This window comes from Homo sapiens, chromosome 4 (genome assembly GCF_000001405.40).
Source record: "Homo sapiens chromosome 4, GRCh38.p14 Primary Assembly".
Classification (NCBI taxonomy): Eukaryota; Metazoa; Chordata; class Mammalia; order Primates; family Hominidae; genus Homo; species Homo sapiens.
Genome location: NC_000004.12, coordinates 25,005,751 through 25,022,201, shown reverse-complemented (window position 1 = coordinate 25,022,201; position 16,451 = coordinate 25,005,751). Strand labels below are relative to the sequence as shown.

The window sequence follows — 16,451 nt, the reverse complement described above, 5'->3', positions numbered from 1 at the left end:
GCACTTTACTGTCTACAGTGGCCATACTGGTTGGTGCTGTTGCCTGGGTGTTCGTTTTATCTCCCAGCACGTTGGAAGCTCCTGCAGGGCAGGACTTTTAGTGATCTTCCCTTAGCTCTGTTCTTCCCCCAGTGTCTAGCACAGGGCTAAGCCAGCAGGACATACTTCCTGATTTGCTAATGGATGGATGGCTTCTTAATGGAGTTAGATTTCCCATATGTGCTCTACTTCTGGACAAGTCAGGTGGCTTTGTTTTTTTTTTTTTTTTTTTGAGATGGAATCTCTCTCTGCTACCTAGGCTGGAGTGCAGTGGTGCAATCTTGGCTCACTGCAACCTCAGCCTTGCGAGTTCAAGCGATTCTCCTGCCTCAGCCTCTTGAGTAGCTGGGACTACAGGCGTGTGCCACCATGCCTGGCTAATTTTTTGTATTTTTAGTAGAGACAGCGTTTCACCGTGTTAGCCAGGATGGTCTCAATCTCCTGACCTCATGATCCACCCACCTCGGCCTCCCAAAGTGTTGGGATTATAGGTGTGAGCCACCGCGCCCGGCCAGGCGACTTTTAAAGTTGACTCCTCTAGGCAGGAGATGCATTTAGTAATTCAAGCATTTAATATACTGTGTAAAGAATGAATCAATTCACCTCCCTCCCCTTCTAAAAACCTCTAAGAAAAGAGAAGATACCAGGTCTCTAAAGTTCACCCCCGTGCTTACGGAAGTTCCTATTTGGAATTTGCTTGTTGAAGTTAAGCAGCTGATTTTTATCTTTCATGAACTTTTGCAATGCTTACAGACTCACATGCATAGGAAAAGAGACATAGATCAGGTTTCAAAGCATTGAAGGACCTGTGCCAATCTGTAACTAAAATCTAGAACATTTGTTTCCAGCAGTCCCATGAAGCCCAAGGGACAGGGAACTGTTAAATAGTTTTAGAAATAAAGTAAGTGCCATGATTTGTAGACAAAATGAAGTGGAAAGGCAGGTGTTAAGCACTTAGTGTGAGTGGGATAAATAATCCATCTAAATAATTCTGCTTTCTGAAATCTAAATTGAACACTTGGAACGTTGCTAAACTCTCTGCTTTTTTTTTTTTTGGCTTTGACCATTCTGTATATACTTATCATATCAATACAGTAACTTTCAATTAGCTGAAGTTTTTAGCTAATAATGTTAATTAGCTAAAACATTGTTGTACTTTACTTTCCAGAAAAAGTGACCATCGACCAGGAAAGAAAATCAAAATGAACACCCCCCTTTTAAAAATTTCCAAAATCTCTTTCAGAGTAGCTTTAGTCTGATTACATATTCAGCCTATTTTCCAACACAGTTAAAAATGTACAAATACCTCATTTAGAAAAGAAAGGTAAAAGAGTACATGAAATTTTATTTAAATCCATTTGTGGTCACCTAGATAGGAAGGGGCATAATTCAGAAACTGTGGGTCTCCCCATATTAACTTGGTGTCCTGAAGCAAGAATATTTGGGCTCCAAGCTTTCTACTATGTCCAGCTAACCGACTCTAGGTAGGAAGAGTCATTTCTTTAATTCATCCTTCTGGGATGGGTCATTATGATGATACAGAAGATGCATTTCATAGATATCTTAAATTGGTTGGGGCTGAATTGCTTACATGTTAGTCGTTTATGTGTTTTGCTGTTTGCATTCATATGTGTAAAAGAAAACAAAAGTAGGCATCAGTTTCTTGGCTGACTCACATTAGAGTGCAGTGCCTGGGGAAATCACAAACTCAGTGTACATCATTTCAACACTCCACGTCTTTCTACATCAACAGCCCTGCACCGTGGACATTCATCTTCACAGGATGATGACAGGGCACTGCAAAATCCTGAATCATCGGAGAAAGAGTTGATGCTGTGCATTCTACTCTATTTCCTGGAGGTGGGGTGTGGACTAAGACGTCTTAGAATGATCTTTAACACCAAGAGCAAAAATGCAAAATGGTTTTGGGTCAACCTTTATTAATGTGAAAATGAAATTGATCATAGTCAATCATTCCCTACACATTCTGATCGGTTGAGATTTTATTATGTTATTCTTAAAGGTTAGAGCTGAGTCTCTTTATGTAAAGGAGTATTGACTGAGTCCTTTCTTAGAATCACGAGTAATAGAATTCACTTAGATGGACCATTAGGGAACTTCTTGGGACAAGACTGTAAATCTTCTTTTATCACTCACACTTTGGTGCTTAATACATCAATTCAGCAAAGATATACTGAGTACCTGCTGTGTGCCAGGCACTGTTCTAGGAACTGGGGATACAGCAGTGGACAGACAGACAATAATCTCTGTCCTCATGTGGCTTATGTAGAGGGGGAATACACAGCCAGTAAACAAATAGTTAATTAAAATATGTAGTGTACCAAATGATGGTGGTACAGGGAAGGGAGATGTGCAGAGGCCTGAGAAGTGGTGATACTTGAGGACAGACCCAAAGGAGGCAATGGAATTCCAAATGGATAGCTGGGGAAAGAACATTCCAGGCAGATGACCAAGTTCAGAGGCCTGGAGGGTAGGAGCATGCCTCACCTGTTGGAGGAATAGCAAGGAGGCCAGTGTGGCTAGATCAGAGATCCACTGAGTAGTTGGAAACCGATGAGATGGGGTCTCCTAGGTAAGCAAGAGTGGAGGTAGCCAGGCAATAAAGGGTCTTGCATGCCACCGAAGGAACTTTGGCTTTGATTCCAGGAAACATGGGAAGCCATCTGAGGTTGAGCAAATATACATAAAGAGCTTAAAAAGTGCTTTTTGTAAAAAAAAAAAGAAAGAAAATGTATATTATAATCCAGCATCTCTTATGTTATATTTGCATAACTAAGCTCATTTCTCTATCTCAGTATTGATGACCAAAGCCGTGCTATAAGTCAACAGCTTTATCTGAAGGGAGTTGAGAGTGACAGGGCATGAGATAATAATCACATTGCAATGTGACTTTCTTGTTCTAGTTCTTTGGCCAATAACCACATAAAAGCACTACCAAGGGATGTCTTCAGTGATTTAGACTCTCTGATTGAACTGTAAGTAATGAAATTTAGTTTATGTGTGTTTGTCATTGTGCCCCAGTTAATCATGTCTTTCAATCCCCTCTCGCCTTTCTTTTATGCATTTCTTTTATGCTGTGGTTAAAAATCTATAACAAAGTAGTGCATCCTGGGAAATAGCATACAGTTTGTATTGTGTTGGATTTTGCCATTTTATACTTAGCACCATGAGGCCAATGGTAAATCACACTTGCTGGGTGGGAGATCACCTCCCTGAGATGGCACGTTCACCTGCTTTATCTTCTATCATTGCTTCTTACTGGATGTATTTTTTTTTTTTTTAGATGTAGTCTTGCTCTGTTGCCCAGGCTAGAGTGAAATGGTATGATCTCCACTCATTACAACCTCTGCGTCCTGGGTTCAAGTGATTCTCCTGCCTCAGCCTCCTGAGTAGCTGGGACTACAGGCGCACACCACTACCCCCAGCTAATTTTTGTATTTTTAGTAGAGACGGGGTTTCACCATGTTGGCCAGGCTAGTCTCGAACTCCTAACCTCAGGTGATCTGCCTACCTTGGCCTCCCAAAGTGCTAGAATTACAGGCATGAGCCACCGTGCCTGGCCTACTGGACGTAGTTTTAACAAGAGCTTGAAGTTTCAATTGTGTTTGTGAAAACTGTCTTCCTACAATATCCTCTTTGTTTATGAGAACCTCTGTTGGGGGCTGCTCTTCTATCATATGTCTCCCATTTCTGGCATGGCGTGGAGACGAGAGCATTTGGAGAGATGATATGTCCTCGCTGAGAGCTCTCTGGACATTATACAGTTATTCAGTTAAATTCCCAGGTGCTGAGGAGTATTAAATAAAGTCAATGATAGATACAAGAAACAGGAGATATTAATTATAAAAGTTTTTAAACTCCATTTTTAGGGGGTTTTAAATATATCAGGATGTTAATAATTCTGGAGTTTCGTGTTACTACCAAAACATGTCAGACACATCTATTTCTCTTTGTATGTGTTTGTGTTTTATTTTGATTTTTAGAGATTTGAGGGGTAATAAATTTGAATGTGACTGCAAAGCCAAGTGGCTATACCTGTGGTTGAAGATGACAAATTCCACCGTTTCTGATGTGCTGTGTATTGGTCCACCAGAGTATCAGGAAAAGAAGCTAAATGACGTGACCAGCTTTGACTATGAATGCACAACTACAGGTATTCAGAGCCTATCTCATCAGACACGGATATTTAGAATAATCTCTTTGTCTTTCTTTTACACTGTCAACAGAGACTGGGGAAAAGTGAATATAGAACTGTTTATCAAAATTGTTTTAGAGAAATTTTAAACATTCTAAAGAAATGAATCGATGTGGTAAGGAAAATATCTCAAAAGTTTGGGAGAATTTTTGTTAACTGCCCTGGCTTTATTTTTGCTTCTTTACGAAATTCAAATTTCTGTAAGTGTTTCATTTTCTTAAGTCAAAGTATAAACTTGTGGGTTTGGCAGGAGAACATTTTCAAATCAATCTAGGTTTCATAGAAGGCCACTGCAGGGAGGCTTAGATTACTCGGTTGAGACTGTTCTTTTGCTTTAGGAAGATGTTCATTGGACATTTAACTAACAAACATCAGAATTTTTTTTTTTTTTTTTTTTTTTTTTTTGAGGCAGAGTCTTACTCTGTCGCCCAGGCTGGAGTGTAGTGGCGTGATCTCAACTCACTGCAATCTCCACCTCCTGGGTTCAAGCGATTCTCCTGCCTCAGCCTCCTGAGCAGCTGACATTACAGGTGTGCACCACCACACCCGGCTAATTTTTGTATTTTTAGTAGAGACGGGGTTTCACCATGTTGGCCAGGATGGTCTCGATCTCCTGATCTCATCATCCGCCCACCTTGGCCTCCCAAAGTGCTGGGATTACAGGTATGAACCACTGCGCCTGGCCCAAACACCAGACTTTTAAACCCACAAATGACTTTCAGAGTCCCATGTAAGAAGAGATAACTAGGTAAATTATAACCAATGGCAAAATAGAAAATAAAAGTTAACAACTAGTTATCAAAAGGAAACAGCTCATATCGAGGGAAAAATGTAAAGAAAGCTTGATTTTGTTTTCCAGGGCCTGCCACAAACTTTCAGTTTATACATTTTTCAGGTTATAAGATAAAACCAAAATACTAACTGCCTCCACTGTCACAACATGGGGCCAAAGGTATTGGTGAGTATCTCCATTGGAAAGGCTTAGGTGGGGTTTCTACAGCTTCTAAAGCCAGAGAGAGGAGGATCAGGCCGCTGTATGAAACCTGCTTACCCAATTTATAAAAATAAACATTCAGGCTGAGAGCTGATATCTACAAAGCCTCAAGTCATGTCAGGAGAAGCAGCAGGAATGAGAAACAGAAAATAGTTACAGAAACTCAAAAGACACCAAAACTCCAAGAACAAAATATCATATTTAGGCCAGTCCCCGCTACCACCTTCCAACAAATAAACAAAAACCCAGAAAGTAAAGATCATTTCTAGGTATCTTTGTTTGTAAATAAGGGACCCTGCAAGTTCTATTCTTTTCTGATAGACAACCTGCAATCTCACAGAAATGACTTTTCCTTTCATCATCAAATAGGGGCTTACTCAGCTGTGTAATTGACAGGTGCCCCACAGTCAGCTGAGGCCACTACGAGGTTAGTTTATTGTATTTTAGGGCCAGGACAATAAATCAGAGGTCGTAGTCGATAACATTTGCACCAAAAGGTGGCATTCAAGACTATTTGGCGTTAAATGCTAAATTTAATTAAATTGAATAAACCAAAGCTAAACTAAAGCTCACTGAGACTTCTCACTACCTTTTCTCCATTTTCTCTGCAGAGGTCTCGAAACACCAAGGTGAAATTTGCAGATTTTCCCTTGTTCTCTTCACACCTGGCCATAGCGTGGAGAAACTTTGCTAATCTCTGATGGAAGTAATGGGCTATAGGGCCGTGGGAATAGGAAATAATTTCTACAAGAAAACATATTTTCTGAGCTTAGGGCCCTGAGGATAGTTATAAAAGTGATCCAGGCTCTGAGAATTGTTATTGGAATGGTGGTAGCTTGGAACTGAGGTAACCTGTCCTCATCCCAACATGGAGTAGCAAGAGGCCTTAACACATTTTAGAGCCTTCTCTGTCTCATGCAGTATTTGTCTTCATGAACAAGCTTCCTACTAAACTTTAGAAAGTCAGCGCTAGGCTTTCTGGTGAGAGGGAGATGATAATTCTGGCTTTGTGCTATGGTTTTATCCCTTTAAGACTCACAAACAGAGATGAGGCTCTTGCTGACAGTTTCTTCCATCGGGAAAAAAATGGTACAACAAAGTTGTGATCCACCCCCAAACATAGGCCCCGCTGTGTAAGAACTAGGTCAACAAATTTTGAGTGTTCGGGGTTCATGTCTTCTGTTCAGATCAAACCTTAGCCTCTGTTGCTTCGTTAAAAGCTAGATGGGGAGTAGGGGCGTGGGGTCGGGGGAACAAATGAGGATGGAGGGAAAATGGAAAGCCAAAGGTCGAGAGTTCATGGTACAGTGATCGTATTCTTGCCAAAGGTTTAGAAAGAAGCACATTTTCTGAATATGATTGTTTTCCTTTTCAACTCAGATTATCGGAAAAGGGGTGAGTTTTCTCCTGTTTCACTGTTTTTTCCCAGAGAGAGGAAGGTACTGTTACCATTCTATTCCTTGGCCAAGGGGTGTAATTCATATCACAAAGCCACCATTGGGCTGTTTCAGGTCTTTACATTAATCAGCTCTTGAACCCTCCCCTTCAAGTCTATTTTTAACCACCTCAAAAGTCCCTGTTACCTACCGATGATTCCCTGTGTTAGGTGGGTAATTCACTAAATTCCTTAGAGGAAGTGAATTTTGCATTCTAATTGTCCTGTTAGCTTCCCCTTTTCAGGGCTGATGAAAATGCACAGAGAAATAATGCATTAATGTGCAGTTTCTCTCCCAGAAGGATCGGCGTCATGTATAATTTATTTTCTGCAAGTGCTATAAATAGCTATGTAAAAATCTGTTGATTCCACTGGGAGAAAGGCCTAAATTGTAAGAGTCCCACTGACATCATGAACTTAATCCAGTGTGAATGGAAGTGGCAGTTCTTTTTGCAGAGTGCCATTAATATTTTAACACTAGTAAATTGATGTCACATCAATATGTGTATTTCTGAGATCTTTCCACAAGAATGTGCTTTTGCTGTTTGTGAGAAGTAAATTTAATTGGGGGTGGGAGAAGATATTTAAATTCCTCTGGTCCTCTGATACCCACAAATATATATGCATCAATCATTTTCTTTTCATTCTCTCTCTCTCTCTCTCTTTTTTTTTTTTTTTTTTTTTTTTGAGACAAGGTCTTGCTCTGTCATCCAGGCTAGAGTGCAGTGGCACAATCATAGCTCACTGCAACCTCAGACTCCTGGGCTCAATCGATCCTTCCACCTCAGCCTCCAGAGCAGCTGGGACTACAGGCATGCACCATCATGCCCAGCTAATTTTTCTTAATTTTTAGTAAAGAGAAGGTCTTGCTATGTTAGCTAGTCTGGTCTCAAACTCCTGGCCTCAAGCAGTCCTGCCTTGGCCTCCCAAGCTGCCAGGATTACAGGCACAAGCCATCTTGCCTATCTTGCCTGGCCCTGTTCTTCTTTTTTCCTTCTCTTCCTCTTCTTCCTCCTTCTCCTTCCTTTTTTTTGGCGGGGGCGGGGGTGGGTTCTTCTATTAAGAGTTACATTTATAATTCAAATGATTTAACAATCTGTGTCATGCCAGATAATCAGTATGTAGGAAATATTATGAAACCACTATATGGGGAAAATAGATTAAAACAGGGCCACGACAGGCTAGATTTGTAAAATGCTCTGCACTGTGACAACTCCTTTTCATCCTGGGATTCTTCAATAAAAACAGAAACTTTCTAGTCTACACTTTAAACAGCCTGCCTTTTTAAGCAAATGCTCATGTTTCTGAGAATTCAGAGTGCAGTAGGGAGGCTAATGGGAGGGAGGAGGTGAGTGAGTTATGGGCGTCACGGGAGTGCTTAGAACTTTTGGCAGACTCGGAGTAGTCGAATGCAACCGGAGATGTAGGAGAGGAGTTTATAGCCATCTTGGTTGTAATTAAAAGAAAGCAGCTGTATTCTCCAAATCTTTTTATATCCCCAGAAAAGGGAGCACATGATGACTGCTGCCATTTCCCCTTTCTCTGTCTACATGTGAACACAGAAACCAGCAAAGTCTTGTGCAGTGAACACACGCTTTCTGGCTTCTACACTGTTGGCACTGCTAGTGCCAACAGGAGTGAACAGAGGTTCACTTTTTTCTGTTTATTTATCTTTGACCAAGCAACTATTATTTTGGTGGTGGGAGGGGATTGAGGGAGAGCCATGACTCTTCCCTAAGTCTTCAAGTAGGCAACTGAATACTATCATTGTTGCATATGTCAACTACTGAGTGATCACCATAGCACTGCAATATATACTTACATGTACCTTGCATTTAGTCTTTATGGCAACCTCATGAAATAGACACCACCTTCATTTTACAGGTGAAAAAAGAACCTCAGGCTCAATTGTCTTGCCAAAGGTCATGTAACTAAAAGTGCTTCTTTCAGTGCCGTCATGGGATCCCAGTGCCTTAGCCCTACTAAATATGGACTGTCTACTTGCTTTTGAAATAATCGTGAATCAGAAGCCCTTCACCAGGATGTTCTGCTCTGGACTTGGGGATGGGAAGGTACCCCGTCCACTAGAGCCACTTGTCCACACTCTCCCTCAGTCACCTCCTGCCTGTTGGGCTGCAGAGGCAGCCTCTTTTCTCCTCCTTCTCCCCACATCTTCATATACCACTCAGCCTCCGTCCCCTCCCCTGTAGTCTTTAGAGTGGGCTGAGAAGCAAGGCCAGCCGCCTCACAGTGGTTTAGCCAACAAGGATTCAGTAAGCACCTACTCTGCCCCCAGAATGAAGGGAGGGGCACCTCTAAAAGGTAACATGTATTGAGCACTCACTTCGTGCTAGGCTAAGTGGGTAGAAACCATAATACCCCTAAGACCATAGCAGAGGGTTTGGTTTGGTTTCCAATGTTCAGTGTACCATTTGGGGAGTGTACCATTCATTCTGAACGTGCAGTGGGGTTGTCTGCTGACAGGTAATCCCGAGCTAGGGTTTATAAGAACTGGAGATAAAGGGTCAGGTAAGTTTGAGAAGCACCATATCAAACAAAAAACAGACTTCTTCCCTTCAGGGGCTGTTCTGAGAGAGCTGGAAGTACAGCATTTTCCAAACTCACTGGACCGCAGCCCCCGCTTGTCACAGAGTGATTTGCACGGCAGTTTTGAGAATGTTGCTGTGCAGCGTCCTGTCCGTCTTACCACTTTGAAAGCCAAGTCTCACCAAATATGTTTAAAACTCTGAGATCCTTTAGCCAAACTCGGGAAGCTGTTTCTCCACAGGAAGCTGTACTAGAAACTGTGCATTCTGTCTGATAATCCTGCGCAAGCCAGGACTCTTTCTGGAATGTCCCAGAGTAAAATACGCTGTGATGTTTGTGTTGCATCTCTCCTATCCTCCTCCTCCTCCCCAGTCCTTTTCAGAGCTGATGTGATGATGGAACGGTGATGGTGGTTGATAATCCCTACAGGAGATTTTATGAACGCTTTTCTTTTTAAACACCCATCCCCAGATTTTGTTGTTCATCAGACTTTACCCTACCAGTCGGTTTCAGTGGATACGTTCAACTCCAAGAACGATGTGTACGTGGCCATCGCGCAGCCCAGCATGGAGAACTGCATGGTGCTGGAGTGGGACCACATTGAAATGAATTTCCGGAGCTATGACAACATTACAGGTGTGTTGTGGCTTTGATCAGATGTGTTGAACTAATTTCAGCATTGCGGCAAGCCCGCGGGAGGAGGAATGTCCTCTGTATTGAGGGAGAGCTCGGCTCTCTAACCTGGTTAGAGCTGGGGAACACGTCCCAGCCTTCCCTCTGGGTCTCTCCAGTTTTTGTCTTGGTGTGGTCCATTACTGAGAGAGTGGAAACCTCAGGTAGTGATCCTGCTTATTATTGATGATCATTTACGGGTTGCATGTGGTGGGAGGCATTTTCTAGTAGTGGTGAGAAGTCACACTGAGAATCCCTTGTCCTGAGCAGTATGGGAGCCCAAGTCTGCACCAGCTTTGTAGCAGCTAAATGATGCTTTGACTTTCATTAAGCTGATTGTTAACCAATATGCTAACAAACACACACACACACATACCCTATAGTTTGTTCCTAGTGCCCTTTGCTAAGTCCTAGTGATCACTGCTTTCTTTTAGTAAGTACATACGAAATAAGAATAAATGGATCCCTAAATTAGGCATTTGGGATATGAATTAGTTAACGCTTCTTTCAGTGCCGTCATGGGATCCCAGTGCCTTAGCCCTACTGAATGTGGACTGTCTACTTGCTTTTGAAATAACCTTTGAAAGACTCCTCATTTATCAACGTGCAATCTGATAACAATACTGTGTAAACAGTGCCACAAAGGTCTAATTATCACCCCAGGAGAGGGTTTCCTTTAGAGGTTCCTGATGTGGCCTTAGAGCAGCGTTTTACTGTTGTAGCAAGAAGCATATTCAGGTAGAATTTCTGGGTTGGGAGGCTCCTAAGAGTCTCCCAAGCACCAAGTGGCTTCCCAGCAGGTACAGGGATGTGGGGAGGCAGGGAGAGCTGCTAATGAGCCTTATCTCACAGTGTATCTCGGTGTGAGATGTACAACGGATGCTCCGAGGATGCCATTTCAGATGAGCTGGCCACCGTCGGGCCATCTGGCCTCCCCGTGCTGAGCTCACCTTCCGGAGAGTAACGCTCTTGGAAGTGCAGACTCAGCACAGAGTAGCACAGGTGAACCTGCTGTGGAAGCCAAGAACAAGGGAGATGAGGAAGTGAGTCCATGTCCACGTGGTTTTGTGCTTCCCCCTTTGTCCTGACATGGAAGATAGGGGAGGGGAGGATGAGCTGGTCTCTCTGCCTTTTCTCCTCCTCTCTGGTAGGAGATGGGAACAGAGTGAAGCTTTGCTGTTTTCTGTTTTTTGGTTTTTTTGATTTTTTTTTTTTTTGAGACAGGCTCTTACTCTGTCACCCAGGCTGGAGTGCAGTGATGTAATCTTGCCTCATTGCAACCTGGAACTCCTGGGCTCAAGGGATCCTCCTGCCCCAGCCTCCCAAGTAGCTGGGACTACAGGCACACACCACTGCACCCAGCTAATTTTTTGTTTTTTGTAGAGACAGGGTCTCACTATGATGCCCAGGCTGGTCTCAAACTCTTGAGCTCAAGGGATCCTCCTGCCTTGGCCTCCCAAAGTGCTGGGATTATAGGCTTGAGCCACTATGCCTGGCTGAGCTTTGCTCTTGAACAAGTTCCAATGCCGATGTTGGCCGTGAGCCTGTGAGGCACCAGGGCCTAGTTTATCCCATTGGAAGCTCATAACAGCTCTTGGAGTTACACCTGCCCATAGGTTAGAGGACAAAAGCTCTCTTCTTTAGAGAGAGGAGGCATACATACTAGAAAGAGCTCAGGTTTTGAAAACTGATGCACACGGATTATACTCCCAACTCTGCCGTGGTCTAGGAAGAATGTGTGCCTTTGAAGCTTGGTTCTCTCATCTGGGAAATGGGGAGTGGATGTGCCTCATGTGGATGCTATGAGGATTGAGTGCACAGAGCGGGCGCTTCTCAAAGCTGCCATCCTTTTCACAACCTTACAAATGATGAGGTCAAGGTTTAGGCATGTCCAGTCACCCACTGTTTATTCAGGGCTGAGCCCAGGGTTTCTCATGGTTGTACCCCACTGGTTTTCTCTCCCAGGTTGACCTTGGTAGGACAGCCCTGTCTTTTCTTTTTTCTTTTCTTTTCTTTTTTGAGATGGAGTCTCGCTCTGTTGCCTAGGCTAGAGTGCAGTGGCGCAGTCTCGGCTCACTGCAACCTCTGCCTCCCGGGTTCAAGCAATTCTCCTGCCTCAGCCTCCTGAGTAGTTGGAACTACAGGCACCTGCTACCGCACCCGGCTAATTTTTTAATTTTTAGTAGAGACGGGGTTTCACTATGTTGGCCAGGCTGGTCTTGAACTCCTGCCCTTCTGATATACTGCAGCTGGTGGCATTCTTAAATTTATTCATTCATTCTCAAAGATTTCTTGAACGCTTACTCTGAGCCAGGCATGTTCTTGATGCTGGGGAAACGGCAGTGAATAAACTAGATAAAACTCTGGCCAGGCGTGTTGACTCATGCCTGTTATCCCAGCAGTTTGGGAGGCCGAGGCAGGTGGATCACGAGGTCAGGAGTTTGAGACCAACCTGGCCAGTATGATGAAACCCCGTCTCTACTAAAAATACAAAAATTAGCTGGGCGTGGTGGCATGCACCTGTAGTCCCAGCTACTCAGGAGGCTGAGGCAGAAGAATTGCTTGAACCCGGGAGGCGGAGGTTGCAGTGAGCCAAGATCGTGCCACTGCACTCCAGCCTGGGTGACAGAGTGAGACTCCATCTCAAAAAAACAAAACAAAACAAAAAAACCTCTGCCCTCAGGAGTTCCCATTCTAATGGGAGAAAGAGACAATAAGAAAGAATATTCGTATTGTAATAATTATTGTAAAAATAATTGTAGTATTTAAAAAAACACATCAGACAGAAATGTGCTAAGGAGGGGAAATAAAGTGAAGAAGGAAGATGTGGAGTACTGTGTGTGGGAAGATTTGAAGGCTTGGGTAGAGGGTCCAGGAGAGGCCTCATCAAGAAGGTGCTACTTGAATAAGACCTGTGGGATTGGAGGGATTGGTTCGCATGGAGAGGGGGGAAGAGCATTCCAGGCAAAGGGAGCAGCAAGTCCAAAGGTAGAGGCAGGAGAGCATCTTTCCTGTTTGAAGAACATCCAGGGGGATGGTTTGGCATGAGCCAAATGAGCCAGCGGGGAGTTGCAGTTGATGAGTCCAAAGTCAGAAAGGCTGATCATGGAGTCTCACAGGTCCTAGGAAGGACTTGGCTTTTCCTCTGAATGTCCTACAAAGCCATGGAGGGTTTTGTGCAGAGGCAGGAGGATGCAGGTACCTGGCTAAGAGGCTGGATTGTGTCCAGCTACCGGGTCAAACATAGTCTTTTAGAGTGAGAGCACAAAGGTCGAAGCACAGTGGCTAGCTAAGAGGCTATGGCAAGAATCCGGAACCCAGGCAAGCGAGTATGGCCTGGACCAAACGGAGGCCACAGAGCTGGTGGGGAGGAAGTCAGTGCGATCCGAGTGGGTGTGGCTGGGGCCAGAGCCCTGCTGGACCTTGTTAGTTTCCAAAGATTCCTCAGCCCCTCAGTCTCCAAGTCTGAATCATCCCACAGCTTGGCGGCATGACATGAAGCCCACCCGGCTCCTCTTTTTACCACCAAGCCTAAGAAATGAGTTCCAACATCAGACTGGCTTTTGATCTTCCTGGCTCCAGCCCTTACTAGCTGGTGGCCACGGCCAAGTGATTTAATGTGCATGAGCCCCTTTCATCTGTAAAGTGGAGATTTTAGGAATTTCCACTTTATCTGTAAAATGGGATCAGCATTGTATTGGACTCAGGGAAATACTATAAGGATTTTTTTTTTTTTTTTTTTTTTGAGACAGAGTCTCACTCTTGTCACCCAGGCTGGAGTGCGGTGGTGTGATCTCAGCTCACTGCAACCTCCACCTCCCAGATTCAAGTGATTTTCTGGCCTCAGCCTCCCGAGTATCTGGGATTACAGGCACACACCACCATGCCTGGATAATTTTTGTATTTTTAGTAGAGACGGGGTTTCACCATGTTGGCCTTGGAGTTCTTGAACTCCTGACCTCAGGTGATTCACCCACCTCGGCCTCCCAAAGTGTTAGGATTACAGGTGTGAGACAACGTGCCTGGCCAATACTATAAGGATTTAATGGGGGTAAAATAGGAGCAACCCTCCTTTTCCACCCACAGACTCTACCTTTTTGATTTCCATTAAAACTGCTCCACAACTTGCATGAACGTAGGGAATGCAGAGACCAGCAGACTTCCCTGAAGGAGGTAGAAGGTGGTGCTACAGAAGGAAGGGGGATCACTTCATGGAGGGAGGAGAGGAGCTGTCTCTCGGTTGCTGGCATTGAGCCTGGCATGAGGGAAAGCCCTATAGCACACGTGGGTAGGCAAGGACACTGCCCTAGGTGCTACTTGCTTCAAGAAGAACAAGGTAAATGTGGACCATTCTCCCTCCCTGTGCTGTGCACACCTCATTTGACATCTTGTTTGGCCATGGGGTGGTCCCCAAGTTGACAAGGGCAGGACAGGATTTTCTCAATCCATGCACTTCCTCCTTTGCAGGCCTGGTGACCATGTTGCCAAAGGGATGGCTCCAGCTGTCCATGTGCACCAGGGGAGAGAGAGAAACCCATGGTCATGTTCACCCTGAGGTTCACTTCCCCTTGTTCTCTCTACGTCTCATCTTGGCTTTCTCAATTTTGGTTTATTTTGTTCGCCTTTTGATTTCTGCAGGCTAAGTATGTTCCAACCTATAATCCCTCTTCCTACACACACACACACACACACACACACACACACACACACACACACACACTGATCTGTCTGCTACTGACAACTCCATGGCTAACCTGGACAGAGTGTGTTACAGAGCCGGGAAAGGAATTCCTTCTGTTTCACGCGGTCCTTTGGCTGTGACAGGCAGACCTCTAGGACACTTCTAGGGGGTGGTAGCCTCCATAGCCAGGTGCTCAAGAAGGGGACGAGGAGCCTGCCCTCTCAATTAGTGCTGGCAGGGTGGAAATCAATGCCGCTTTTGAAGAGCAGCTTGGCAGTTAAAACCCAAAAGCTTAAAAATGTGCACAACATTTGCCCCAGCAATTCTTACACTTGAGAACACTGCCAGATGGTATCAAAACGTTATTTAACAATATTTTAAAGGAAACGTTATTTTACAATAAGGAAAAGCTAGAAATAATTGCAATGTCCAACAGTAGAGCATTAATTAAGTAAAATATGGTGCATCCATGCAATGGGATACTGTGTAGTGTCAATATCAAGTTGTTGAAGAATCATCCACATGAGGAAATGTTCACAGCATGGGCGCCAAGTGAAAAAAAAGTAGATTATAAAATATCTATGGATAACGTAAACCCCAGTTTTTTAAAAAAAGAATACTTGAATATGTGCACAGATTAAAAATTAAATAATATATCAAGATATTAAGTGTTATTTCACATTTATAGTACAACTGGTTTGTATTTTCTTCTTTGTGCTTTTTGATTCTTTGGTATCAGAGTATAGACTGAGGCCAAATTATCTGAATTTAAATCTCAGTCTCTACCACATACTAGCTATGTGACTTTTAATAAATTACTTAACTTCTCTGTGCCTCGGTTTTACCCTTTATAAAATGGGGATGATGATGATGCTAAGAATAGTATATGCCTCATATAGTTGTTATAACGATTAAATAAGTAAATGCATGTAAAGTGCTTAGAATAGTGCCTGGTCATACCTACACACTTCTTAAGTTTTACCTCTTAGTATTTTCAAAATTTGCTCTGGTAAACATTTAACACACATATCCTCAGGGAAAAACAATGCAATAATTAGTTTTAAACAAGGAAAAGGGATTAGGTCCTTGCAGGAAGACCAGAATGGTGAAAGAGAAAAGTAAATGCCACTCTGAAAACCACCCAGTGTCAGCCCCCAGAGCCAATCCTTAGGATAGAAATGGAATCATCCTTAGAATTTGGGATTCTGGCCAAATTCACTTTGGTCCAAATTACCTAGAAAATTAAAGGAAAGAAATAACCTTTAATGGAGTGATCTAGATGGAGGATCAGTGGTCTCGTAGGTGGTCCTTTGCTTAGTGGTTGGTCTTCTGGAATGGGGAGGTCTGGGGGGCATCTGGGTGCAGGGTGATAAGGGATGGTGGGAGGTGAGCCAGAGGGGAGAGTCACCACGGAAAATGGTCCCCTGCCTCTGCAAAGTCTTAGTTTTATGACGTCTGAGCTAGATCATTCAGACTATTGCTCCTTCTTTAGATACTTATGCATGCCCACTATGGGCAAGCACTAAGGGGCAAGGTCTTGTGATTATAGTGACAATTGCTTCAATTGTTCAATAATGATAGCCACTAATGAGCAATCACCCGCTAGGTGCCAGTGCTCCATGCTAAAAACGCTTGCCATGAATGATCTCATTTCATCCTTATAGTCACTTGTAAGATCAGTGCTGGCAGCATCTTCAGTCTCATTTTACGAATGAGGAACTTGAGCACAGAGAGTTGGGTTAACCAGCACAGGGTCAGAAAGCTTACAAGGTGCGGGGCTGGGCTTTGAACCCTAGGCCACCTGGTCTGTGTCATAAGGTTTAATCCTACTCTTTCTGCCTCCACTTGGCTTCCTTTAGCTCTGGAA

The 16,451-nt window shown here is 43.7% G+C and overlaps 1 protein-coding gene and 1 long non-coding RNA gene across 4 annotated transcripts in view; one reads left to right on the top strand and one right to left on the bottom strand.

The window, feature by feature from the left end:
• LOC102723675 (uncharacterized) overlaps positions 1-16,451 on the bottom strand; it is a 52,704-nt gene that overhangs the window by 4,702 nt on the left and 31,551 nt on the right. The window lies entirely within an intron of this gene.
• Positions 1-16,451, top strand: part of LGI2 (leucine rich repeat LGI family member 2) — a 38,866-nt gene that overhangs the window by 8,745 nt on the left and 13,670 nt on the right. For 2 of the 3 annotated variants that reach the window (XM_017008356.2, NM_018176.4), the window contains exons 5-7: positions 2,964-3,035; positions 4,044-4,213; positions 9,703-9,867. In XM_017008356.2, coding sequence (XP_016863845.1) covers positions 2,964-3,035; positions 4,044-4,213; positions 9,703-9,867 — 407 coding nt within the window. Of the gene's footprint in view, positions 1-2,963; positions 3,036-4,043; positions 4,214-9,702; positions 9,868-14,370; positions 15,418-16,451 lie in introns of those variants that run through there. The other variant, XM_011513850.3, reaches the window with a different exon arrangement.